This window comes from Homo sapiens, chromosome 6 (genome assembly GCF_000001405.40).
Source record: "Homo sapiens chromosome 6, GRCh38.p14 Primary Assembly".
Lineage (NCBI taxonomy): Eukaryota > Metazoa > Chordata > Mammalia > Primates > Hominidae > Homo > Homo sapiens.
This window is the reverse complement of record NC_000006.12, coordinates 64,809,573-64,836,931: the sequence shown is the minus strand read 5'-3', so window position 1 is coordinate 64,836,931 and position 27,359 is coordinate 64,809,573. Positions and strand designations below refer to the sequence as shown.

General features: G+C 33.4%; 1 protein-coding gene across 2 annotated transcripts in view; it reads left to right on the top strand.

Annotated features, from left to right (window-relative positions):
• The window catches only part of EYS (eyes shut homolog), a 1,987,247-nt gene that overhangs the window by 870,295 nt on the left and 1,089,593 nt on the right, over positions 1-27,359 (top strand). For both annotated transcript variants that reach the window (NM_001142800.2, NM_001292009.2), the window contains exons 20-22: positions 14,110-14,281; positions 15,209-15,287; positions 23,355-23,554. In NM_001142800.2, coding sequence (NP_001136272.1) covers positions 14,110-14,281; positions 15,209-15,287; positions 23,355-23,554 — 451 coding nt within the window. The remainder of the gene's footprint in view (positions 1-14,109; positions 14,282-15,208; positions 15,288-23,354; positions 23,555-27,359) is intronic.

Here is a 27,359-nt window from a genome sequence, read left to right as displayed (position 1 = left end):
AATGTGTCTCTAGTTTATACATTTATATATTTTCCAATGTCTCACTTTTTTCAAACCACTGAAATAATCATCTTCCTAGGCACATTTCAAAAGTGGAATTTCACAGAAATGTGTGAAATTTTTATTATATTTGTCTTTTATCACATTTGAAGAGATTATTTACAGCATTTCACTAAAATTGCTCTCTAAATTATGCCGTTTTCTACATTTTGGCAAGTTTTCACAAATTGCAGACCAATCGAGATTGTAACCATGTGCTCATTTGACTGCATGTTCATCGCTACTGGATATTGCTATTTTCAATAGAAAATTTTTATCTTTTTTATGAAAAAAATTTTGGTAAAATTATGCTTCACTATTTTAATATGCATGTTACTGCCTGCTAGTGAGGTAAACAGTAGTGAGCTAAAATACTCATTTGACATGAAAATTTTGCCTAGAAAAATATTTCCCTGCATAAATTGTCTACAGAGATAACCCCCAAAAATATATGTGTGTGTATGCATAAAGATCTTCATTAGTTATTTTTATTGGTGAAATGTTGAAATAACCATTATTTTGAAATTAGATTACTGTATATATTATTCATGGAAGAATACATTGCCATATATTTATAGTGTGTATATATATATATAAAATAAATCATAATATATTCATGATATGTATTCCTCATAGAAGAATGTATATATTTTGCAATCATTAAAATGATATGACTGAAGACCATGTCACCAAATGAAAAAAAACATGACATGTTATAATTGTTTAAGTAATTATTTTTTACATTGAGAAAGTGCCAATGTATGTATGTATGGAGGCATGTGGAAAAAATTAAAACATAAGTAATATATAAAAATTACGATTATGAGATTTGAGCGATTATTTTCATTTGCTTGTATTTACTCAACTTAAAACATTTTAATATGTTTTTACAATAAAAATGGAGGAAAGGGAGGCATTTGACCATTAGCCCAAAAGAAGTAGAGATGTCTTTTATACATCGTTTATTTTTATTGCTAATATCATCATCTTAATTTAGGTCTTACTGATTCACAACTGAACTGATAATACTACCACGTTACTGCACTCATTGTCTCGAGCCTTGGCACATAGTTTTCAATGTTGTTTCATTCTATTTTTATAGAATAAAGTTTAAATTTGTTATAATATGTACACAGTTGATTCAAATGTTTAGCAGTGAATATTCTCATAATTGACTCTATGTGTTGAAACCCAGATCTATTAACCCAGTTTACAACAGCCTGATCTTCAAGAGGTTGTATATTATCCTGTGGCTATGTTTGCTATGTAAAATAAGGACACAACTGGTACCTAAGTCTGGTGTCATGCTTTTATCACCAGTGCTTACCTAGTACATAAGATTCAGTGAGTGTTGATAATGAAATAATTGTATTGTCATCTTGGTATTAAAATATTGCCACAAGTTTTTTTTAAATTCTCAGCCACATTATGCTAATTAGTGACTGTGTTAGTCTATAACATTGTGAGGAATTGTCTGCTACACACACATATGCAGACACACACCACATACTTTCTTCTATCATTTCAACAGCTCCCTCAACAACAATCTCTATTGCCTCTCCTCATCCTTATTATGCACATGTTTCTAGTTCTCTAACACTCTGCTCAACCCCAAATTAATACTTAGGAAAGTACCTTTCCAGTGGTGTGATGGAGAAAGCTAATAGTGCTCATGAGAGCTGAATATTAATTTTTATAAACTTTGTTGGTTTGTAGACATAATTTCAGGACATTGAAATAAAAAAGATGGGAGTACTGCATCAGGGGAATTAAACTATGTTATAAATAAGCCCTTGCTTCCTGATTTTTTTTCTTCCAAGAGCCAGTTAAACATTTACTAGTACAAAACTATAACTTTACATCTTTAAACTCCTTTTATTTCTGCATAACACACATTGGGCCACTCATTTTAAATCAGAAGATGTTACTTCAAAGCTTATTTTTGCTATTATTTGATATTGGACTGTCTCTCAATAGTACAACCATCAGTTAGCCTTATCTATTTCCTGTGGTTAACATCAACTTAACAGGTTGGTTTATGCATAAATCAAATTAACAACTAAGAATTGTGTTTGTTAATCAAAACATACAACATAGAAAGTCCTGTGATTATCACTTAACATTTTATTTCACCTGGTCTTTAAAATTAAACATTATAGAGACTTAGTATTTTTAAAATGCCACTCTAGAAACAATACTCTTTTATCAAACTATGAATTAGGTGCAGCTTATAAGCCATTGCCTTTGCCTATAACTTTGAATAAATAAAATGTTATGCTATTGATTTAAGGATTAAAGCAAGCACCTCCAATAAGATGTTTTCTTAATTTTGGAAAATTAAATCTCAAATTAACTAGGTCACTGGATTTTTTAATTATGGATTTTTACTTCTATGACAAAATTGACTTAGTCTTTAAAGTGTGCTTCCTACTTAAGTAAACTATGGAATTAGCCATATGGAGAACAGTAGACATTATATTAATTTCAATTTTTTCCATTTTTTCATGCAGCTCTGTATTAAAAATAGTAGCAACTAGAAATGAATTTACTATGAAGCTAATATGTTTAAACTTTAACCTCTTTACACAGAAGGGGTTGTGCTAACATATTGTGCCTTATTTTATATTTGTAATCATGAGCTTTTTTTAAATTAAAGAATACCTCCAAAATTTTGTAAGTTTCAGATCGCTTTTTGGTTCCGATAAAGAACATTTATTTTCCACTCTGAGTGTTCTGGCTCACAGCTTGATCTTAGTGACTGCTGGGTCTGCTTTGTTTTCCCAAAGGGTTTCTCTTGAATGCATTCGATTGACTCATTGGACCTAAATCAGTCTTTATGTCAGAATGTGTCTGTGCCTAACCTGGAGAGGATAAACAAAATCCTTAAATTTCATCAAGGCCCTGGTTTGGGGCCCATTCAAATGAAGAATTAAAATTAGAATTTTTCATTGATCTCCAGTTACTTGGTAGAGTTGTCAGAAATAAGAGAAACATACATTGTAAAATGTCACAAATTTTGTTCAAAGCCCCAGGATTCTGTAAAAGTGATTCCATTTGTCATCTTCTAATAACATAATTTTAGGCCATTCAATCTTACATTTTTTTAATTATAAAAGAAAGATTTCAGTGCTTATCATGTACTTTCCTTATGTGGAAATATAATTTTAACTAATAATGGCAATTAAAGCCTGACTCATTCATTTCTAATTGTTACAAAATACAAAAAATTACAAGCTACTTTGATTCAAAAAATTTACACATGAGCTCACTGATATGAGACACATTTTTGTTGTTATATGTATCTTCAGAGGTAATAATAAAATTATGTAATGATTGTTTTGACCTATGTATAACCTCATGTTTCTATGCCTCACTTGATAGCTCATGAAGTCTGCATAGTCACAGAAGAAATGTTGGGGCTGCTAAGAAGGGTGAGCAACAGCAACACCCAATGGCTAGTTACTTAACATTTCAATATTTTTACACTAGTCATGCCGGTACATCCCACTGATTATCAGCCTTGTTTATCTGAAGCAAAATTGTCCTATAATTCACATTTTAAGCATAATTAAAATGTTTTCCTAGCTACACACAGGTTACCTAAAACCGAATGTTTTCACAAAATCATTATTCATTTAAAGAATTGTTTTGATGGCAAGCTGGTTTTCAATCCTATTCAGTGTAGTCCTACTGAAATACTTTACCATGTAAAGATTGTGATGTACATATAAGTGAAATAGTATTGTGGTATTGAAGTACAAGAAATAAGGTATGCATAATCAGAAACAGAGTTGTGTGCATTAATGTTTATATGTAATAAGCCATAAAATTAGTCCTAATGATCTCAATTCTCATTCTTATGAGTTGGAATGGGGAATGTGGCAGGGTCTAATGGTTGGAGCTCAATGATGCACATAAGAATATTTGAGGCACTCATTTAGACAAGCTTAGAGCAATCATTTCTAAAGAATGTCCTTTGAACTAAAGAATGTCCTTTGAAATACTTAGATTGCAGTAACTTTGTGTAGACACATTTAATACTCACATTAGCCCTATGAGGTAGAAATCATTATTGTATATGTGATTAATAAGACTTCATTTGTAGCTTCGTGAGATACAATGGATATCCAAAAACACTACATACATTTAATATGTGCATCTTGACTAATTTTGACATATGCATATATCCATGATACTGTCACCAAAATCAAGATAACAAACATATTCATCACCTCCAAAAATTTTCTCATATTCTTTTTTGTGTGTATGTGTTATTTATTTATCTTTTTTGTGGTAAGAATATTTAACATGCAACCTATCCTAATACTCTAAAGTGAACAATACTATATTGGTAACTATAGGTACTATAGTTAATAGCTTATCTCTAGAAATTATTCATCTTGCATAAGTGAAATTTTATGCCATTGAACAACTACGCATTTTCTCCCACTCCTAGCCTCTAGAAACCACCATTCTACTATCTGTGTCTATAAGTTTGGTGACTAGATACCTCATACAGATAGAATCATGCAGTGTTTATTTTAATCATAACAGAACCTAGGAACTAAACAGTACTTTAAATAATGAGCTATTTTCTGCATTATATTAGCAAGGATTAGAATCATTTGTTTGAAATAAAATTTCCTGATTGTATTAGTATTAATGTTAGTTGATAAATTATAGCCATGTACATGCGTATGAATGTGTGAAGTTTATAAGTTTTGACAATATTTTAACATGTTAATCAGAGTTAATACACAGGGCCCTCAAATAATAAGTAATTATGTATTAATTAGAACAGAAGTCCGACTCATCTATAAACTGTTACTTCTATTGTCTAATATCTTTCATTTTTAATCAATCCTCATATGCCTGTTTGTACTTAGAGATATTCTGCATCTCTTCACCTTGAACAACTTCTCACTTTCCAAAGCTCTCAACATAGTTGCCTAATTAAACACACGCCTCATTTCACATACCTTTCTTGACTCACTCATTTAGAATGATCTAAAAACAATGAGTAACTAATATGAATCAGAATATTGTTTTTGCTTGTCTTAGCAATTTTGTGAAGGATATTTTGAATGTCTTCTTTAAAATTTTTTACAATGACATAGTAATTGTTTTTATAACTTTTACAATAAACTGTGAAGTCCTCTAACAACTGGCCGCATTCTTGTGGTAACAAAGTCTAAGAGAGAGAAGACTTCATTTAATTGTGGCCTGATATTGAAGAATTGCCCCCATTCTTTTCATAAAAGAGGTAGGAAAATATAAGGAGAAATAAGATTTAAATGAACATCATTATCATCATCATTTTCATCATCAAATATTTATTGATACTTGTCCTTTTCCAAACCTCTAAGGACTACTGTAATGAATTTTAAAAGCATCTGTCCAAACCTGGGATATTTATAGACAGGAAAATAAAGCATCAGTAAAAGTTCCTTGGAGAGCTTCTGAAAACAGATATAATATTCTAATAAATTCTTTCCAAACAATGAAAATATTAGCAAATGATTGTTAATCAAATGCTAAATCTATGCTGGTTTAATCCAGTATTTGATATATACCGCCAATATTTTTATTAATGATATACATTTTCCTAGTAACTACTTCATACACTTTCAACATTTTTTCCTAAGTTTTTTGACAAAAAAATTTAAAAGCATTCCTATGGAAAAGATTAATTTCCAGGAAACTTTTTCATAGGTTAGGCTTCCCAAGAAAGAGACTGCAATTTACATGTAGGTGAGTTATCAGTGACTACTTTCAACAGCAATGCCTGCGAGGGGAAAGAGAAGTAGGACTGGGAAAGGAAGATGTTGAGCTAAGATGTAGTTATAACAGAAGCCTCAGTTGATCCCTCCAGGAACTATGAAGTGGGGATGGCCCCTTCATAGTTGACCCATACTGAGTCGCCTTCACTCATTGCACAGCAGAGGGGAGGCCCAAACTTGGGCAAGGCAGACCCCTTTGGCCAAGCAAAATTCAATTCCTGGGGAAGAATTGCACTTAGAACTTGGTAGGAAACTCCTCTATTTGTGGAATTGAGTGTTGCTGTTCTGAATGGGGACCTGGAATGCTCATTACTTTATCTATTATAGTCAACCCTTTGTGCTGCTCAGATCTACCTGCTTTCTAAAATAAGTACACCTAATCTGGAAACAGATACCCAAAATTATAATTTGTCTCTTCCTGGGTAAATAGACAAGATCACTTTCAGGGATTACTGGGAAGAACTCCAATTTCTGTCACCAAAGTTGATCTTGGTACTGCATCTGATACTTCTCTTCCTCCTCTCCTGTGCAAATTATATTACCCTCATCCTTGGCTAGAAAATATGCTGGCCTACTGGATTACCTGGTGAATTAATCTAGAAACTCATGCCTGACAGTTAATCTCCTAGTAAGGCTATGACTTTTTTGTTTGTTCATGAATGACAATGAAGACTCTGCTCAGTAGATCACCTTAATGTCACATATTTTTATCCTTGTCCCTACTTTATAACAGTGTCCTACTTCCCCCCTCCCCATTATCAGCATCACTTACCCTTGTATCTTAGTCCATTTGAGCTTCTATCACAAAATCCCGTAGACTGGGTAGCTTATAAATAACAGAAATTTATTTCTTATAGGTCTAGAGGATAAGAAGTCCAAGATCAAGGTGGCAGCAGATTTGATGTCCAGTGAAAGTCATTTTCTGGTACTTAGATTGTGCCTTCTAGCCATGTCCTCACATGGTGGAAGGTTCCCTTGGGCCTATTTTATAAGGGCACTAATTCCATTGATGAGGGCTCTGCCCTTATGACCTAATCATCACTTTAGGGGTTAGGATTTCAACATGTGAATTTGCGGGGAACACAAACATTTCAGTCCATATCACAATAAGGAACTTCTTTCCTTGACTGATAGTTTCTTAGCACAAAGAGCCTACAACAACCATACATTTCAAAAAGGGATTCTAGTGGTATTCTCTAGCGCAAGGGTCCCTCCCCTGGTAATCAGTGCCTCTAGATTCCTGGAACCTATATTTTCAGGAATGCAAAGCACAAATTTCCCAATTGTTCACAAAGAAGGATGGCACATCGGTTCACTCACTTTTACCCCCTGGTTCCCAATTCCATATATTATACCTATTGGGAACAAAGCATCATATAATGATTATTGATATAGAGTGCATACCGCATTCTATAATTTAGTGTTCCATCCCCAAAAGCTTTCATCTCCGAACTGGCACCTCAGTTACACCTAGTAGTTTTTGGATGGTGTGCTACATCATGAAACCAACAGATCTATCGTTATCTGATTGCTACTATGCTTTGTTGTAAAGTGGCTTCCTTGGTCCAGTGAGATATTATGAGAGCTCTCATATTGATGGATCAACACTACATAAGCCCTTGAGTAGTTATTCTGGCCAAACATCTATTGGCAGGAGAAGCAAGAAAGGCTGACCATTAAGTGTGTAGTGGCTATGGTCTCTGTTCCTGGAAGATTGGATATCTGAGGGAAGCAGTACCTAACTAATTCTTGGGACAGAGGAGCCCATACATTGGGTCCATGCACAGGCCTCCATATTTGCCACTCTAGCTACTCTATTCATGCCTGTTGTACCACCATTGTGGTGGCTGATGCCAGAGAAGGACAGATGTTAACTGGCTGAGTTATTTCTTTATGGCTATTTAATGCCTCTTCTGCATTAACATGCATTGCAGAGAACTTCACACTTCATGCCCACTCCTATCAGTCCAATATATGCTTCTTTCTCATATTTCCCTGACCCAGATAGTCTTATATTTTGCCTTCCAGTCCAGCCATGTCATTTGCCACTACCTATAACTCCATGCATATTCTTCTCTTAGGCTATTTCCACCCAAAGATTATGACCACATCATGGGACTGAAGATCTGCCCATCCGAAGGATGTCCCTTTTGCTTTACCTTCTTGGGTAACCTCTTAATAAGGCTTTAAGGAAGCAGCAATCCATTTCCAGTTTATACCCATATACCAAGTCAACCCATCCATGAACCAACCTCAGACTTTTTTTATTTTTCCTTCAGATGGCCACCAGGGAGGGCCCAGACAGAAACAGTATGAACTTAGGATGAGCTTCTGTTGCGAAAGAAGTACATAACTTAGGAGTGCAACTATCTGTGATCTCTGGCATACTCATACACAATTCCCAATATACTACCTACTGTAGATTGCCACTGGTCTTGCCAAATGCATTGGCAGTTCTGTCCACATGGATACTTGATGTCCCATGGTCAGGTGTTTCATCTCTACAACTACCCAGACATGCCAGAAGCCATTTCTCAATTTCAGGATAATTCTCTGCTACATATATTTTAGTTTTGGTCCAGAGCCTCAGTCTATGATTCTTCCTCTGGCACTACTATAAAATCTATGCATCATATTTTCCACTACATATATCTTTAATACCATAGAGTCTTCTAAGATATATGCTCCAAACAGCAAAATAGCTTGTATACTGCCTGAAACTGCTACAGAGTTCCATCAATTTAGTCAAATCCATGTCCGTTATCTCTTTACATATTTCTCCTATCATATTATCTCTCCCTTTTACTTTAGGGATTCCAGTTGCAAGTCAGTTAGAAACTTTGATATTATTCTATATGTCTTAGAAGCTCTTTTCTGTTTTCTTACTCTTTTTACCTCCAGGTGTTTCCTTTTGATTAATTTATACTTGCTTATCTTCAAGTTCATTGGTTCTTTCCTATGTCCAGTCCACTGATAAGCTCATTAAATTAATTCTTCATCTTGTATTATTTTCCTAGCATTGAAATTTGAATATTTTTATAGTTTCCATCTCTTTTGATATTCCTCATAGATTCAGTCATCTATCCACCTTTTATGATATATTTTTTAACATATCAGTCATGTTCTAAATCATTATTTTAAATTCCTTCTCTGATAATTTCAACCTTTCTGTCAACTTTATTCTTATTCCATCCATTTTTTGTTGTTTCTGGATTTTTTTTACATTTCATAATTTTTGATTGACACACCTTTAAACACCATGGCTGCATGTTTGCCTAGATTATTCCTCATAGAATAGCATTTGCTGGACTGCCTATCTGGAAATCTTTTACATGATAGTTAAAATTGTTTTTAATTTAAATATTGTTCATAATAAGAAACGTTTACAAAACTCTCATTTTGCTTTTGGAGCTCTTATGACTTTTTTAATTTTGTAATTCAAAATGGTTAGAAATATGAATTTGAATTTTTAAAATCACTGATTCTTAAGTCCATAAATTATTGTATGCCTGTATTAACTTGATTATGTCCTTTGTAAATATCATGCTATTATGTAAATTTTAGTCATTTTCAAAATGTTATCACAATTTAGATGTGTTCAGTAGTAGTTAAGCTGACTATTTTGATCATTTACTACATGAAAATTTTGTATTTGGCATTTTCATGAAGTAAAAGTAAATAGGTATGATCCCTGAGCTCAAATAAGTAGTGATAAAGTTTGGAAGATAAGACAGTAATTCAAATAAATAAACCCTAAAGAGACTCTGATAAATGATATTAGCTGATATGCAATGGGAGATATCAAAAGGAATATTTAAAATTAACTAGAATTTTGTAAGACCTCAAATAAAAAAACAGGCTGCAAACAGAGATGTGGAAATGACATTTCAGGCAGAACTATCAGGAGCTAACATGGATATGAGAAAATATTGAGAATGTTTAATTTTAAGCCAGTTTGATAAAAAGCAGCGGTCCTTAGCTATGATTTACCATCATCTAGAGAGATTTTTAAAAATATAGCTTGTCAGTCCTATTTCTCAGAGATTCAGATTTGGGATTTTGTATTTTTAAAAACTCCACGGTTGATTGTATTATTCAATCAGGTTTATAAACCAGGAGATGAGAGTATTTGATAATATCAGAGCAGCGACAAGAAAGGAAAGATTGGAACAGAGAATTTGGTTTTAGGCTAGGGAGACTACATTTATTTCTGGGGACAATGGAGAGTTCATAAAGTATGTTTTGAGGTTCTCATATGTGAAATGAAAAAAATTAAGAATCAGGAAAGTGATTTTGAAAAACTTGTCAAAACATGTAACGCTGACAAATGGGAAGAAGTTGGGTAAAAAGGGAATGAAGAGAAAGTAAGAAAAAAAAACACAGTCTGAAAAAAGACAGCTGATTGACAGATATATATATATATATATATACATAAAATCATGTATTTATATAATAGGAATATATATAATTTCTATTATAATATTGTTGATGCACGAAAATGTTTTGCTGATCAAACCTATCAGTTTATGAACTTTAATGGCTTGATTCTAAAAGGATTGTGTAATTTCCTATGTGAAAATATTCAATCTGGAGGCAGATGTTGAGGCGGACTAGTAAAGAGGATTTTTAAATAAGTGGGATCATAGGAAAAAAACTCAAATATCACAGGTAACCTTCCAATCTGCTTAAAAAAGGAATTGCCTGCATTATGAATGAAATAAAAAACTTTAGAACCACAAGCTGAAAATTATTTCAAACATAAACTATTGCTGTAGCTCCAAAGCAGGCAGGAGGGTAGGTGGAAAGAACAATATGTTAGACATAACAAAAAGAAAGAACATGGTTCTTCTTTTGTCAAATGAAGTCCATAATGAAATCATTAGATTTTGTGAAAATCATCTGCTATGCTGTGATTGAGGTGGCAGTGATGCATGCCAGGTCAAGGGAACTATGCAAGGAGTCTAGAACTCTGATTGACACATAAATATGCATTAGATAAATTAATGACCAGTAGGAAATACCTGGTATATAAGGCAATGTAGGCAAAAAACTGAGACTGAGACTTTAGCCAAGGCTTTGATCATGTCTAATAAATACTATTATTTCTTTTAGATGTGCTATGTCAAAGCATTGTTATCCTATGAAGATAAACAATCTTGTTGTTATAATAATCAGGGAGCATATGTATTTATATATATATATATATATGTGCACTTTATGAATATCTCTCTACTATGCTACAGTAGAGAAATTTTGATTCATAGTTTACAGATGAATAACTTAGAGTTTGAATAGGTTGGTAATTATTTGTGGGAGATCATTGTGAACCAAAGTCCAAGACCCTCCACAACTGTGTGTCTTTTTTCACACATGAACATGTCTTTGTTTGAAGGTGGGAAAAAGCAGAGGTCCCATTAAATATTTCCCCTTGGCTGCACAGACAACTCTTTTAGTTATGCACCTCAGAGGCATCACCATCGCCTCATTGGATTCTGACTCTCACCTTCGCAAGGACTAACAGTTTCCCCAGATTCTCAAGAACTGTTTTGTTCGTGGTTGGGAAGAGGCTGGGATTTCTGAGAAAATAACAGATATCTGTAAAACAAAATACAAAAACATGCACACATAAACCCACACACACGTATATGACAAGGATTTATTTTTTAACAAATATTTGAATGTATGCAGTTTGAATGAGACAGACAAAATCTATGCCTTTATGAAGCTAAGCTTGTCATGGAGAAATAGAGAGAAAAAGAAAAAAAAGATGAATACATCTTATGGAATGCTACAAGGAGATTACTTGTTACAGGAGGGAAACATAAAACAGGATAATGGCAATTGCGGATTAAGACGAGAATGCAATTTTGTATTGTGTGGTTGAATAGTCCTCATTGAGATAGTGACATTTGAGTAAAAACCTGAAGAAGATGTAAACTGTGAAATATTTGGAAGAGATTTTTTAGAAAGGGAATAAAAGTACAAAGGTCTTTTAGGAACAGCATGCCTAAAACTTTTGAGAAAATATAAGGAGGTCAATGTAAGTAAAGTAGACTAGTCAAGGGTGAGATTAAAATAAGATGAAGTTAGAAAGGTAAAAGGGACTTTGATATGTGTGAATCTGAAGGACTATAATGTTAAAAATGAGAATGGTTTATAGAGACCAAAATGCTCACATTGGCTAGTTATTCCATTCTTATCCTCTTTGGAGGCTACTTAGAAAGTCAAATTATAACCACAATTTTAATTAATGAATAAAACATTAGGAAAAAAAGATCCTAAGATAATCTTGATGATGCTGTCTCTAGCTAAACTGAGACATGTTTGCCTTTTATGGAGAGAACATTTCAAAAACAGAGTGAAGTGTCTTTTGTCAAATCTCCTCATCTCCCAACATTGCTGGATGCATCCTGTCCCAAACTCTTTTAACACTTTCTGTCCCTGCCCCCACACTTTTGTTATAAATTGACCATCTATCTTTTTTTAACTGAAAATTTCAGCACTGACTCTGCCAGCATTCTACATAGTGATACGGAGACTTTTCACTTATCTTCCTAGTTAGAATGGTGGTGTCTTTGGAACCACCCAAATCACTAATCAAATATAATGTGTTTGTGATATTTTTATCAAGAACCTGAAAGTAATAAAATGTTAAACATGTATCAGACCTTGGCTAGGTTGTTTTTGATGCATGCCTATACTCTATCATCCCAATAAACGTATGATGTACCAATAAGTAACACTCATTTACAAGTGAGAAGCTTGATTGATTATGCTTGTACTCAATTTTATTGTTACAAATATGTGCCCTTTCCTGTGGGAGAAACATTCTTTCCCATTCCATTTCTGTTGGACTTAGTCGTATAACTTGATTTGTAGGTGAAAGACTTAAGAGCCACCTGTATTTTATGTCATATGACCAAGCCCAGCATGAAAGGGAAGTGTCTTTTTTCCTCTTAAACACAGATGTCAATATCCCAGGTAGAGTATGCTTCATTAACATTGGTCTCAGAGTGAAGATAATGTAAAGAGGATCTGTAACTCACTCTAGTCATGGAGAGTGAGTGGGAAATAAAACTATGTCATGAACCTCTGAAATTGAGTGTACCTGGCACATAGTAAGAGCCTCACATGTCAGCTATTTTCATTATTGTCTTCTTCACTGTAATAAGCTTATTACTTATCTTTATTCACAACTAGGTATTATGTATTGGCTACAAGAACCATGTTTTCCAATTGGTATCCACGGTATTACTCAGCATAGCAACTTATGCACATATTAGAGTAGCTGCAAGGTAGGTAATTTAAAGTAATGATCAGAAGCACAAGTCAGAGGAAACATGATTTAAATTCTTGTTTGCTGTTATGGCCTGTGTGACCTGGAAGTTTCACTTACACTCTGAATACTCACCAGTGAGTTAAGGTTAATGAGATCTGCCTATCGGTTTGATGAGCATTAGCTAAGATAATGTGCAGGAAGCCTTAAGGGCAGGGCACACCTATAAGTGCTCAGTCAATGCTAGTTTTTATTAGTAGATGCTTGCTAGTAATGGATGTAATGGGCAAAGAAATTATTCTAACAATTCTACAATGGTTCTGTGCTCTTTCCAGATATTTCAAACATACGAAACACAATCTTGCTTTCCATTAAGCTCTGCTTATGTTATCATCTCGGTGTTTTCTATCTGTAAATGATTACCTCCCTAAAAACGTTTTTGTGTGAACAGGAAGTTTATTTTTTGGCTTGGTACCTCTAGTTGAGCATAGAGGTGGTTCTTGGTAGGTGCTTAAAAAATATTCGCTACTTGGCCTTTGAAAATCCCAGGTATTTAGCCAAAGTTAGATTTCATTTAGAAATCTCAGGGAGCCCATTAATAGACTCACTAAAGCCAAATTTAGAAAACTTCAAACTCATTCTTAATTCTTGTAGGTAATAAACGTTTGACTCTCAAAGACCATTACAAAAAAAATTATGAATTAGTATTCACAGTGACAACTTGATATAATTCATTACTTCACTAATATTCTCAACAAACATCACACTAAAAACAATCTCCTCAGTAGATTAAGCTTGTGCTTTGTTTTTGTCATTCACATTAAATTAGTAATCTGAACATTCATAGACCTAAATATATTTAACCTTGAAATATATTTTCTTTTGCTACCAAATACCAAGTTATCATTATAGAGAGAGGTCTTCATTTCTTGGTGATGTTTACCATAATGAACAAACTTTTAAGAGTTTTGTATTTAAATGGTTTCATGTTTTGCCTTGTCTGTTCCAACACAGGCATCAACTGTGAAATAAATCTAGATGAATGCCTATCAGAGCCCTGTCTCCATGATGGAGTTTGTATCGATGGCATCAATCATTATACCTGTGACTGCAAGAGTGGGTTTTTTGGAACACACTGTGAAACAAACGCCAATGATTGCCTTTCAAATCCTTGTCTACATGGAAGGTAGCTATTTTTTTTATTATTAGCTTTATGAAAGTATATTTAACTCACAATATTTAAGACTTAACATCAAGGGAAAGTTGATAAAGATAATTTTAATTATGCTCTTTCATAAAACAAGAGCTAAGTACATTTAAGATGACAGATGCTGCCAGTTTTAGCTAATGCAATGTACTGATACATTATCTCTGCCCTTCTTTTATTTCTGTTCATTAGCATAAAGTAATTTTCTATAAATGTGGATTAATTAGACTTTAATATACTTAAAGGTAACTGCTCATGGTAATAGAACTAGCAGGTAAGATGATGAGACATTCTATTATTTGCTCTATGGAGAGATAATACCACACAGTATTTAAAATGTTCCTAAGTAAACTGGTTCTTTCAGCCCTATGTGTATGAAAAGTATTTTATGACTCTATGAATCTGTATAATAACTGCTCTGATCATGGATAAAATATTGGTTAATACACATCTAGAGTGAAGGTATTTCTAGAAGATGCAGGTGGCAAAGAAGAATGCATCACAGATGCATCATGCTGCTTGCTTCCACGTTAGTTTTCTTTTATAATCCTGCCACCTACTTTGTAAGCAGGGAAGAGAGAAAGAAGGTTGGCAGCTCATTGCAATGCAGGCTGGCCATAGCTAACTTCAGTTTCTCACATAAGCCCTAGACATACTTTTTATCTTTTAAAACTGTTCATTCTTTTCATTGCCATGGGGAAAATGGCAAAAATGAAAATTGATCCGTTTTTTCAGTCCAGTCACCTTCAAGGATAAGAAACCCAGGAATAAACTCTGCTTTGTATTGCTCATGGGAGTGCTTTTTTCACCTGAACTAGGAAAGAAAAGTTTAAATGGTGAAACTCCCTTGAAGTTATGCTTTAACATCTACTTATTTGAAAATGTAATTCTAATTCTGTGTTTCAGGTGCACAGAACTTATTAATGAATATCCATGTTCATGTGATGCAGATGGGACTAGCACACAATGTAAGATCAAAATTAATGTAAGTCTTATAATTTTATTCAAGTTATATGACAAAAATTTAATTTAAAAGAAAAATCAAATTGCTTGCTGTAGGTTTCAGAGTCATTTCTTCCACAGTTGTTGATGATTTAACTGTTCTCTCATCTTTCCTCTGTGTAATTCTTTGGCTGCTCCAAACAAAACTACAAATCATGGCTTTTTTTCCCCCACCTTTTCTTTCTTTGTCTCTTGTTGTTAGAAAATTCCACGATTCTCCTCCCTCCCGCCGACCGCCCCACCAAACTAAATCCTAGAAGTATCCATTATCAACAGTTGCTCAGATGGCTTAAATTTTACCATCTGCCTCGTCCTCCCTGGTCTTAGGAGACAGAGGTATCTGTGGATCTGTAGGGATGACATAGGATTCAATTAATTCAGATATCACAAGGAGAATATAAATACTGGATGCATATATCAAGACGTGGGCAACACCTTTAATATTCTCAGGATATGTCTTTCAATCTTCAGGAGTCTCATGTGGTGTGATTGACATATGGTATTTTATATAGGATGCCTCATTTGTTGAAAAATGTTGGTCGACTGAGAATTGTGACCGTTCTTGGTGGATGAGAATCTTGTGAGCCTTTTGGAATACTGGGGAGTTCTTCCAAATCATTTTTGATTGACAATAACATGGTAAAGGGAGGAAGCATACAAACTAAAAGCCTTTGTCATTGTGAAACCATGGGTATTTTATTACATTCTTTGTGTCTCTCTCCCTCGTCAGTAAAACATAGCTATACTAGTTCTGACATCACAGGGTCATGTGTGAGAATGTACATGAAACACAGTAACTATTCAGTAAGTGGCCCTTCCAGAGAGGGGTGATGGAGTAGTTAAATGCATTCACGGAGAACCAAGATGGAAACTCTATATTGCTACTTACCTACTGTGTGTTCTCAATTTACATTTATTTTGAAATTATGTTTTGACTATTCAATAAAAATAATCACAGTAACTACCTCAGGTTATTGCAAGAATTAAATGAGATAATGCATGTAAAACAATTAGCACATTTTCTGACACACAGTTTTAAAAAGCATAATTATCTGTTGATATTGTGTTTATTTTGTTCTGGATAGTGAAAGTTATTCTTGATGTGGAAAGGGAAATGTAATAAATAAATTCCCTAGTAGAGAATGAATGAACCATACATCTTGTTTGCATTACTGCAAATATTGCCTGAAGTAATGTCTAAAACCATATTTCTTAATAGTACAAATATCATATTCTTAGTTTTGTATTAAAATATCAGTAAATAGACATTTTTGACATATGTATGTATATATGCATGCGTACATATATACATACATGGCCAATATTATGAGAGCAATTCTTAAAATTCTACCTATGTGATTCTAGATTTTTTCCTAATATTTTTATTTTAACATAAGAGCAAACTCATTATACTCAGTGACTTTTTTGTCTTAGAAGTATATCTTAGGAATCATTCCATTAAAATGCAAAGAGTCCTGATTCATTCTTTTTAATAGCTATAAAGTATTCCAAATAAACACTGAAGACCACACTTACCTGATGAGAGTATGAGCACACCGCTTACCTAGATCCTATTAAATGAAATCACTCTTTGCAAAGTGTTGACTAATTTCATGAGGAGAATGTAATTTGTCATTATTTTAATTTATATTTTCCTAGGTTACTATCAAGATTGAACACCTTTCCATGCTATTATTTGCCATTTGTAGTTCTTTGTGCCTTGCCTACTTATAGTTCTTTTACTTTTTGATTACTTGCCCTTTACTTTTTGATTTGTATGTCTTATTTTAAATTATAGATAAAATCTACTAGGTTCTGAAAAAATGCAAATCTTTTATAAAGTCTGGACACTCTTACTTTATACAGCTTATGAATTGTGAGATTTTCATATTTTTCTTTACCTTTTTCTTCCTAACTGGGCTTTGCTGCTCTCCAAAGAAATCCTTCCCACTGTAATATTTTAAATATATTATTATATTCTCATCTACAATTATAGAATTCGTGATACTTTTAGTGCTTTAACTCATAGTGAATATATTATGATTGATAAAAGCTAGGAATCTAACTTAATGGTTTCTTTTAAGTATAATCATTTTTTCCAAGAAATTTTATCAAAGGGTCTGTTAATTCTTTCTTGATTTGGAATGCTCCACTTTTCATATAATAGATTTCTATATATGGGTTAGTTTTTGGACGATTCTGTTTCTTTACTTTTTATTTCATTTGCACCAGTACTATCTAGAATAATTGTTATAGTTTAATACATTTTTTAAAATTTTGTCATGTTTCACTAATACATTAAGTGTACTCTATATGTAATTTTGCTCATTCATTCTGTAAATCTTAGATATTGAATGTCTATAAGAAATTGAGATATAATAATCATTAGATATATTTCCTACCTGACCAGCTCCACATGGAAAGTGATCTACATCTCTCTCTATCTTACTTACTAGCTGCCCTATTTATTTTAGCTTTCTCTATGGTGCAATGCTTAGATAACACACTCTGCAGGAGATTCATGAACTGTTTTTCAAGGCTAAAGAGGCAAGAAAAATGGAGAAAGATAGGCAGTACTAACTGAAAAGAGCACTCGGGTCAATATAGGGCAAGGTGTTACATGTGAACCTCCTTAGGAGTGGAAATAATATAGTTTATGTTAGGGCTGGATGGGCAGCAAGACAAGCAAAATTGCTGTGATGGTTAATATTGAGTGTCAACTTCATTGGACTGAAGGATGCAAAATATTATTCCTGGGTGTGTCTGTGAGAGTATTGCCAAAGGAGATTAATATTTGAGTCAGTGAACTGGGAAAGACAGACCCACTCTCAATTTGAGTGGGTTTGAGTGGGTACAATCTAATCAGCTGCCAGCTCAGCTAGAATAAAGCAGCCAGAAGAACGTGGAAGAACTAGACTGGCTGAGTCTTCCGGCCTCCATTTTTCTCCCATGCCGGGTGCTTCCTGCCCTCAAACATTTGACTCCAAATTCTTCAGCTTTTGGACTCTTGGACCTTCCACCAGTGGTTTGTCAGGGGCTTTCGGGCCTTCAGCCACAGACGGAAGGCTGCACTGTCGGCTTCCCTACTTTTGAGGTTTTGGGACTCGGACTGGCTTCCTTGCTCCTCACCTTGCAGACGGCCTATTGTAGGACTTCACCTTGTGATAGTGTGAGTCAGTACTCCTTAATAAACTCCCTTTCACATATACTTCTATCCTATTCGTCCTGTTTCTCTAGAGAAACCTAATACACTTTGTTTTGTTTTTTGTCCAAGTGACAATTAGAAGGAAGCTTTAAAAATTAGAATTAATGCTGGAGAAGAGCAAATGCATGCCTGGGGAGAGAACATATGCCATGACTAGTGAAAAAAATGTAATTTAAGTTCTGGATATGCACACACAAACAGAAAAGGAAAGTGAGTAGGGCAGCATAGAAAGCAGATATTTTTCTTTCAAGTTTGATAAGACTTAGGAGGATGGCATGTATCTTTCTCATGCACCATGTATATTTACATGGAAGCAGTATTATTTTTAAGATATCAAATTATAAATATATGTTATGTACTGAAATGGAAAAAACTAATTACAGAATTTAAAAATCGTGACTTTCTCAGATGAAGTAGAAATAAGAGAATTCGTGCTTTAACTCGTAGTGAATATATTGCTATGAGCAGACTTAACATAAAGCAAGGACTCATGTAAGTTCTCTAAATAAAAAGGAAAGAATTAAAAAACTGTGTATAAATAGCAAAGACATGGAATCAACACAGGTGACCATCAGTGGTGGATTGGATAAAGAAAATATGGTACATATACACCATGGAAAACTACAGAGTGATAAAAATGAGTCATGTCCTTCACAGCAACATGGATGCAGCTGGAGGCCATAAAACTAAGGTAATTAATGCAGGAACAGAAAAACAAATACCATATGTTCTCACTTATAAGTGACAGCTAAACATTCAACACCTATGGAGATAAACATGGGACTAATAGGCACTGTGGACTAGAAGAGGGTGGAGGGAGAGGAGAATGGTTCGAAAAAATGACCTATTTTATGCTATGCTCACTACCCAAGTGCAATACACCCGTGTAACAAGGCTGCACATGTATCCCCTGCATGTAAAAAACTGAGTACGCACACATGAGTGCATGTATTTGTGTTTCTCTGAGTGTGGACTGTAATTTATGAGCTTTTTATTTAATATAATTTACATTTTGTCTGCCATGTATATCATGTATATTTTTCTATTTTTTGTTATTCTTTCATTAGTACATAGTGGATTCTGGCATTCAGAAAATTATTTTCAAGTATCCAGATTTATTTGAACACAGACTCTAAAGGTTCTGTGATTTTTGACAGGTTTAAAAGGGACTTATTTAACAAGTTCTTCTCATTCTTTTTATTTGAAATTAAATGATTGAACCATCAGAATGCTTTCCAGGAGAGGGTTTGAGTTGGAGTCCATCTCCCTCAACAAATGGTCAGCTTTTTCCTACAAATTATTTTAGAGAATATCGATATCCTTTAATTAGAAACAAATCTTTAAAATAAACAAGATCTTGCAAAATGGGAACATTCATTACACACACACAGAGTACCTTGCTTTTCCACTTAATCAATCATAGAAAATTATTCTACTTTATATATAATTATATATATATTCTATACTACCATATATTGTTCTACTTTCTTCTTATTAATATTCTATTGTGTGGAAACACCATATTTATTTAATTAGTATCCTTTTTTGGATATTTAAGATATTTTAAGTCTATTGCTCTTAAAAATTCTTTCTGTGTTTTAGGTACAGAAGTTTGAGTTCATTCTAGCTATTTCTAGCATAAAATAATTAGCACTACTTTTAAGACCCCCTCTTGCTCATTTGTTTGTGTGTGCCCTACCATACTTGTGTGTTTATTAGAAATATTTTCCTACGTATTTGTTCTGACAAAATGTGATTATTACTTATTGGTATATGTATCTTTTGTTTAAATAAATGCCATTATGTTCTCTAGGTATTTGTTCTCTAGCTATTCCATTATTTGCCCTCCTGCATAAATCTTGAATCCCTAAGTTAGGGAAAGCCTATCACGACTCATGCAAAAGTGAGCCCAAACCTAGATCAGAAGAGCAAAACAAGTGGGGGTAAGAGAAGTTGCATTTCCTTTTCCAGACTCTTTTTACTACCAACAGCAACCACATCACTTACAATGCTACAGATTCCGTAGTTACGTCTAATCAAAGTTCTCAGTCTTTTGGATTGCCCAATCCTGCAGCTTGCAAAGTAAAAGCCCATATAATTAATGAGATTTTGAATATACGCATTTAAAAACACTGGACTACACTAGCAGTTTTTATTCAGAACTGGACAAAGTTCACGGAATTCTGTGAAGGTTAATAGGCCTTTGCAGAGGGAATGGTAGGGACTTAGTAGGTACCGTGTTCTGTTCCCACTCTTCAAATAGTAGTTCTCTCTGTATCTGTTTCCCTTTCTCCAAGATCTTAATTGAGGAAAGTATTCCACTACCCAAAACACCAATGCTAAAAAATAAAACGTGATGCCATGAGAGAAATGTTATGATAAAGATGACATTGGGTAATTTCCTTTTCTAGGCAGTTAAGAGATCACAGGACAACCCTGTGGATCTAAACCACATCCCTCAGAGAGAACACAACTAACTGAGTCAGTGAGATAACTGTCACATTTACTAGCCCAGTATGTACTTTGCCCTGTCTAAGAATTTCACAATGAATATATCACTGCCCTGTTCCTTTCATGCTCCTGTACATTTCCTGGCATAATATTTTCAGTACACGTTGAATGAATATATCACTGGGGTCAAGCTCTGTTGTCTAGATTGCCCTGGTCTGCAGGATTCCTCCCAGCTTCCATCTCTTTCTCTAAATACTCAACCTTTTATATCTTTTATTTTCTGAAATTACTTTAGTGAACTCTTTGGGAAAGCACTTTATTATATTAAATAGAATATAGCAAAGCAATATAAATGATGAACAAAACGAAAGGCATCCTTTTAAATTTTTAAACCAGGAAAGATCAAGAACTTTAAATGACAATTTGATTTCCTCTAAAAAGAAATTGCCTTTGTATTTCCCATTAAGCTTTCTAATTAATTTAGTAAAAGATTCTTGAAACCCTGGAGACAGAACTTTTGGCAGTCTAAAAACTATCCCTATTTTCCCATGGGAGATACAATTCAATTAGTTTATGTAATGTTTTCTAATAAATCATTCTATACATATCTAGAAACAGAGTTAGGGGAGAAACATGTTTCCATGCCACTCCCTGTGGAATTCTGCATTTCTATTCCATAAATAAAACTGCAATACCTACAGGATAGTCTACTATGTGCTCTTGGTTTTTCTTAACAAGTTCACGTTTTCAGCAAAAGTGGAACAAATATCAAAGGATTTGTTTATAAAAACATACTTAGTTCTATCACTTGTAGGGGGTGGGGGTGTACAAGATCACTATCTAAGTTCCAGGCATGACTGGAATATTATACTGAAGTGCACAATTCATTTCTAATTGTGGATGACGCTAATTAATCTCTCTGATGATTTTTAACATCATCTAATTTTCCAGTGGATACATGATATTAATGCAATGGCTTCCATAATAGTCTTGTCGGTATGAGTTTTTGTCGTTAATACTTTTTTAAAAAGTCACTAAATATTTGTAAGCATAGGTGTCAATTAATGAACAATAATTCTAGAAAATTGTCACTTTTCAAGGTAAAACGCTGAAGAAGTATTTTATGTTTGCATATGGAATTATCCTTGAGAATGTAAGAACTCAAGACCTAGAGTGCAAAATGATTCAAGTTGGTTTAGGTTCATTAAGATATTATCTTTAGGTAAAACTCTTGAAAATAAACAGTTTTACTAATGATGTCATAACTTTCCATAAATTAGTTCTCAGAATTATGGGTGCAAATCTTTTCAGTTTACATTATGAAAAATAATGTCATACCATGTTTGTGGTACTATGACATGTGTTTTCCACACTGTAAGTATATATATAAACCCTAAACTGTAAACTTAAAAGCATATGGTATGATATGGTAGAAGCTAAATATACAGAGAAACATATTTCTTGTTCAAATTAAGTGCCAAAAGATTGAAATAGAGGCTGACTGAGCCCTTGGCCTTCAGAGTGGAGAAGAAAGAAAGATAATATTTACTGATCACATATGACGTTTAAGACACAGTGCCATTATTTTATTTAACTCTCATAGCACACCATATGAGGTGGGTGATATTATCACCATTTTGTGCATCCATGTAGTTACAATAAATAAAATACCATTTGTTGAATAAGTAAGTAAAACTATGAGAAATTTTAAAATATTTTTAAGCTTAAAAAGTAACAGGTATTATCCAGATTCCTCTAACTCTACAAGACATTTGCACTTCTGCAGCTACAGGTGTCAGAAATGCTGGACATACATTTGGACAAATGCATGGGGAAAAGTAGGTAATTAAAAGATTATGATTGGATTCAAACTTCAGCTATTACAGATGTTTTAGCTATTTTACATGGATATAAATGCATTGTGAAATGTTTGTTCTAAGTATGTGATCAAACCCAGAAATCCTTTGAAATTTAATGGAAGTACTATTAATCATTACCGTAGGAGAGCAGAGTTGAACTGGGGCTGTTTTGGGAAAACTGAGAGGTATGGTAGACACTAAGGGCCAGTGAATTCTGTTATCTGCAGAGGAAATTTGCTTTAGCACCATTATTGGGGGCAGGGGCAGTTCTCTGACATGATACATCTTTTTATAAAGATTAATAATGATTTTATTTCTTGGTAAATCAGCAATAAAATATTTGACAGTCTTTCTGGTAATAAAAGGTAAAAAACCGCTTACTGTCATAAACATATATTTCAATTAACAGAGGAAGGAAATGTCAAACAAGTTTGCACATCAGTTTTTTAGATTATGTTTAAATAAAAATATAATTATATTAAAATGGTCAACCTTATACTAATAATCAAATTTGATTCTCTATTTCTTAATCTAGGACTGCACATCAATCCCTTGTATGAATGAAGGCTTCTGTCAGAAGTCAGCACATGGATTTACTTGCATTTGCCCACGTGGATACACTGGTGCATACTGTGAAAAAAGCATTGATAATTGTGCTGAGCCTGAACTTAATTCAGTCATCTGTCTTAATGGAGGGATCTGTGTTGATGGGCCTGGACATACTTTTGACTGCAGGTCAGTATTTATTTACCCACAAGTAAGTAAATATATATTTAGGAGAGCTTATAAACATCCCACTAGTAATGCACTCTGCAATGTAAATACTAAGTTTTGAAGTAAGATTTTACCTTATATATATATAAGCACAACTTAGAAAATAACAATTACAAAATGTCATTGTTTATATTTTCCAAATATCATATATTCATATCACTCCCATGTTTTGCTTTCCCAGTTAAATCATCCCTCATTTTATCATTGTTTTTTTATCTCTTCTCCTTTCTCAAAGTGGGTTTTTATTCTTTTTCTCAAATATTTTATACCAAATGAATGATTTGCTAATATTTCACATTTATAGAATAATTCCTAGCCAGAGATTCATTTCTGTTACTACTATGCCTATCTCCTGAGATCTTAATAGGTTATAAAAATTTTATTTGAGTTATAAAAGCAAATTATTCTATCAATCACTATATTTTTGAACCACTTTTTAAAGGTATAGTTTTAAACATTTTAGGAGATGAATTTTTTTCCTTTGTTATTTCTGATTATATAATATATCCAATGGATTGGTCATTTGAGAATTTAGTCACTATCTGTTCAACTTTAAAATAATAACCGAACCCAGGTATTAAAAAATATACACACATACTTGACCTCCTTTCAGTCTCATTTGTGCTAGGATGATGTTAAGTTAAAATTTGTGAGCTGTATTTCTGTCATATATCTTAAATTACTGACAGGTTTATCATGTATATCTTGATATATAGTTATTTACTAGTAAAGTATACTTATCATTTCTATATTTTATTATTTCTTTTTAAGACACTAATATATTCTGCCTTCTATACAATACTGTCACTTCCGTATTTTCTGTGTTCAATATCTAGGGCATGTTTTGCCTACTTATATATTTTGGTATCTACTGTATTTTTTATTTGGTGTGTATCTCTAGTAAGACATACATAAAAGCTAATTTCATATAAGTTCAAGAATATTAACTTACATTTAGCATAGGCAAACAATGTTTATTTATTATTACGACATAGATATTAGTTATTACACATTGCCTAACATGCCATTTTTGTTTGATATACACATGCATCAGACATGTGTGTGTACCTGTGTGTGTGTGTGTGTGTGTGTGTGTGTATTTTAAATCCTTCTTTCTCGTATCTTGTGTTTTGAACATACTTTCTGTTTATCGTACTTTTGTAGATTGATAAAATATAGTAAACATGTTTTTTATACAAATGGAAATTATATAAAACAAAATTATTAAAATGACTGCTACAAGGATTCTCAGGGTTATAACCTAATAATTGCCTGGACTAAGTCATTAATCATAAATTGAACGTATATTTCTGATGGATACAGTGTTAAAAATCAGGATTCAATTCATGGAAATACATTTTGTTCAATAAAAAAATTGATTATCAAAATAAGTAAACATAAACCTAAAATGTGTATTTTTACAATCTGTTAGTATTTGTTAAATCAAGCACTGTAAGAGCTCTTAGTCCATTTAGTGTTGCTATAACAGAATAACAGAGACTAGAAAAGAGGTTTATTTGGCTTATGCTTCAAGTGGCTGAAAAGCCCAAGAGCATGGCATAGGCATCTGTTTGGCTTCTGATGAGGGTTTCATGCTGCACCATAGGATGGCAGAGATGTGAATGTGGAAGCTGGAATGCAAGAAGGACCAGACAGGAGAGGCAAGCTTGCTTTCTGACAACCACTGTACCCAGAACTAATCTTTTCTCGAGAGAACAAATCCCGTCTCATGAGAAAGACTTTAATCTATTTTAAAGGTCTATTCACTGTGTACAGGCACCACCTCCCAACATTGCTGCACTAAGGTTCCAACATGAGTTTTGGTATGGACACCTAAACCATAGCAAGCTCCTGTATAAATATTCCTTTTAGGGAAAAGTTATCCACAGGCTAGCTTGGCTGATTTTTTTTTTTTTTACAGCATGAAGCCAGTAGAATTCAGGCTGAAGATGCCTGCTTCTTTTCCTGGCATATTTCCCAGGGATAAGCATAGGCATTCATTACTGCTATAAAGTTATTCAAACTGTATTTAAATAGGAGTCATCTATCTCCAAAATTATCATTGCTGATTCAATGTGTTTAAAAGCCCCTGAAGATCTGTCAATGGTAATGCCTTGGGAGGTGCAGTTTCTACTGGGACTCCACGCTACACTATGAGAAGTCAGAGCTGGTGCCAAATCAACACAGTCCTTAGATAGTTTACTTACCAAAGAAAACTCATATTCTAGGATAGAAGGTAGTGCTTTTCAAGTCAAATTATGAGATTTGTTCATGGGTTAAGGGTTAATCCATAGTATGTTTATGTAAAATCATAATAAAATTATTATTTGATATTTAAAGAAGAAAATTGAACTTATTGTTCTGAGTTCTATTTTGTGTTCTCTAAATTTAATCAAAAAGAATCATGTCACTCTTAAAAACCTGGTAAAATATTTTGTTGTTATTATCTTTATACTATTTTTGCTTCAAAGTTTATGCCAATCATAGTAAAAGTTAATGTCTTCATTCTTGTTGCTGGTTTGTTAATGATTTTGCTAAGGTCTGTTTGACTTTAATTGGGAAAATTACTCAACTTTATAACTTTGCACCTTAAGGGTATTTATCCTGAGGTCTTACTTGCAAGGAAAACTATTTTATTAAATATTTCAGCCTTTAATGACCTGCAGAATATTCCATAGGCTTGCTCTTATAATTATTTTAGAATTATTTTTTCCAATTGAAATTTAATGCTGAATGACATTACACAAATAAACAAAAAAGGTAAAGACTGTGCTACCCTTTAAAATTGCCTGTAATTTTTTTAATTGCCAACCTAAAATATTTTGTTGTGTTGTAAGATTCACATATTAATTTTAACTTGGTGAAGTGTAAATTTCTTAGATCTTATCTTTGACTGAGGATGATATAGTAAGTGCTGTCAAGTTTGCTTTCATCTCCGTCATTGCCAAAATTAAACCAAGGAATGGTCTTTTTTCATGAATGCTATATGTTATAAATTCAGTTGATTCATTTCTTTCACAGAAGTTAAAATGACTTTTATTTAATTAAAAACCATGTAGAAAAGATTTATTCCAATGACTGACATATAGAGAACTTATAATTTAATTCCCTTCTGTTTTTATTTCTGGAGTTTTAAGTGTTTATTCAAAATATGTGGTGTCATACGTTTCTGTTATTTATTTCTTCAAGTCAGGGGAATTTTTAAAATTATTCTATTTGTCTTATGCAGATGATTGATACTGATTCACTCATTCTGCAGTCTACCTTGGGTAGCAATATTGCTTACATATTGTATATCACACTTCTTAAAAAATTTTCTTTGATGAATTTTTTTGCTTCCTTTTTTAAAAATTTCAACATTTTCAACATTTATTATAGATTAAAGGACACATACACAGGTATGTTATAGGGGTAAATTACTTGATGCTGAGGCTTGGGATCCCAAAAATCCCATCACCCAGGCTGTAAGTACAGCACCCAATAAGAGGTTCTTCAGCTCCTTTTCTCCATTCTGCATCTAGTGATCCCCATTGTCTGTTGTTCCCACCTTTATGATCATGTGTATTCAATGTTTAGCTCCCACTTATATGGAGAACGTATGGTGTTTGGTTTTCTGTTCTTGTGTTTGGTCATTTAGGATCATGGCTTCCAGCTCCACTCATGTTTCTGCAAAGGGCATAATTTCATTATTTTTTGTGGCTGCATAGTACTCTATGGTGTGGTGTATATGTACCACATTTTCTTTTATCGATCTGCTGTTGATGGG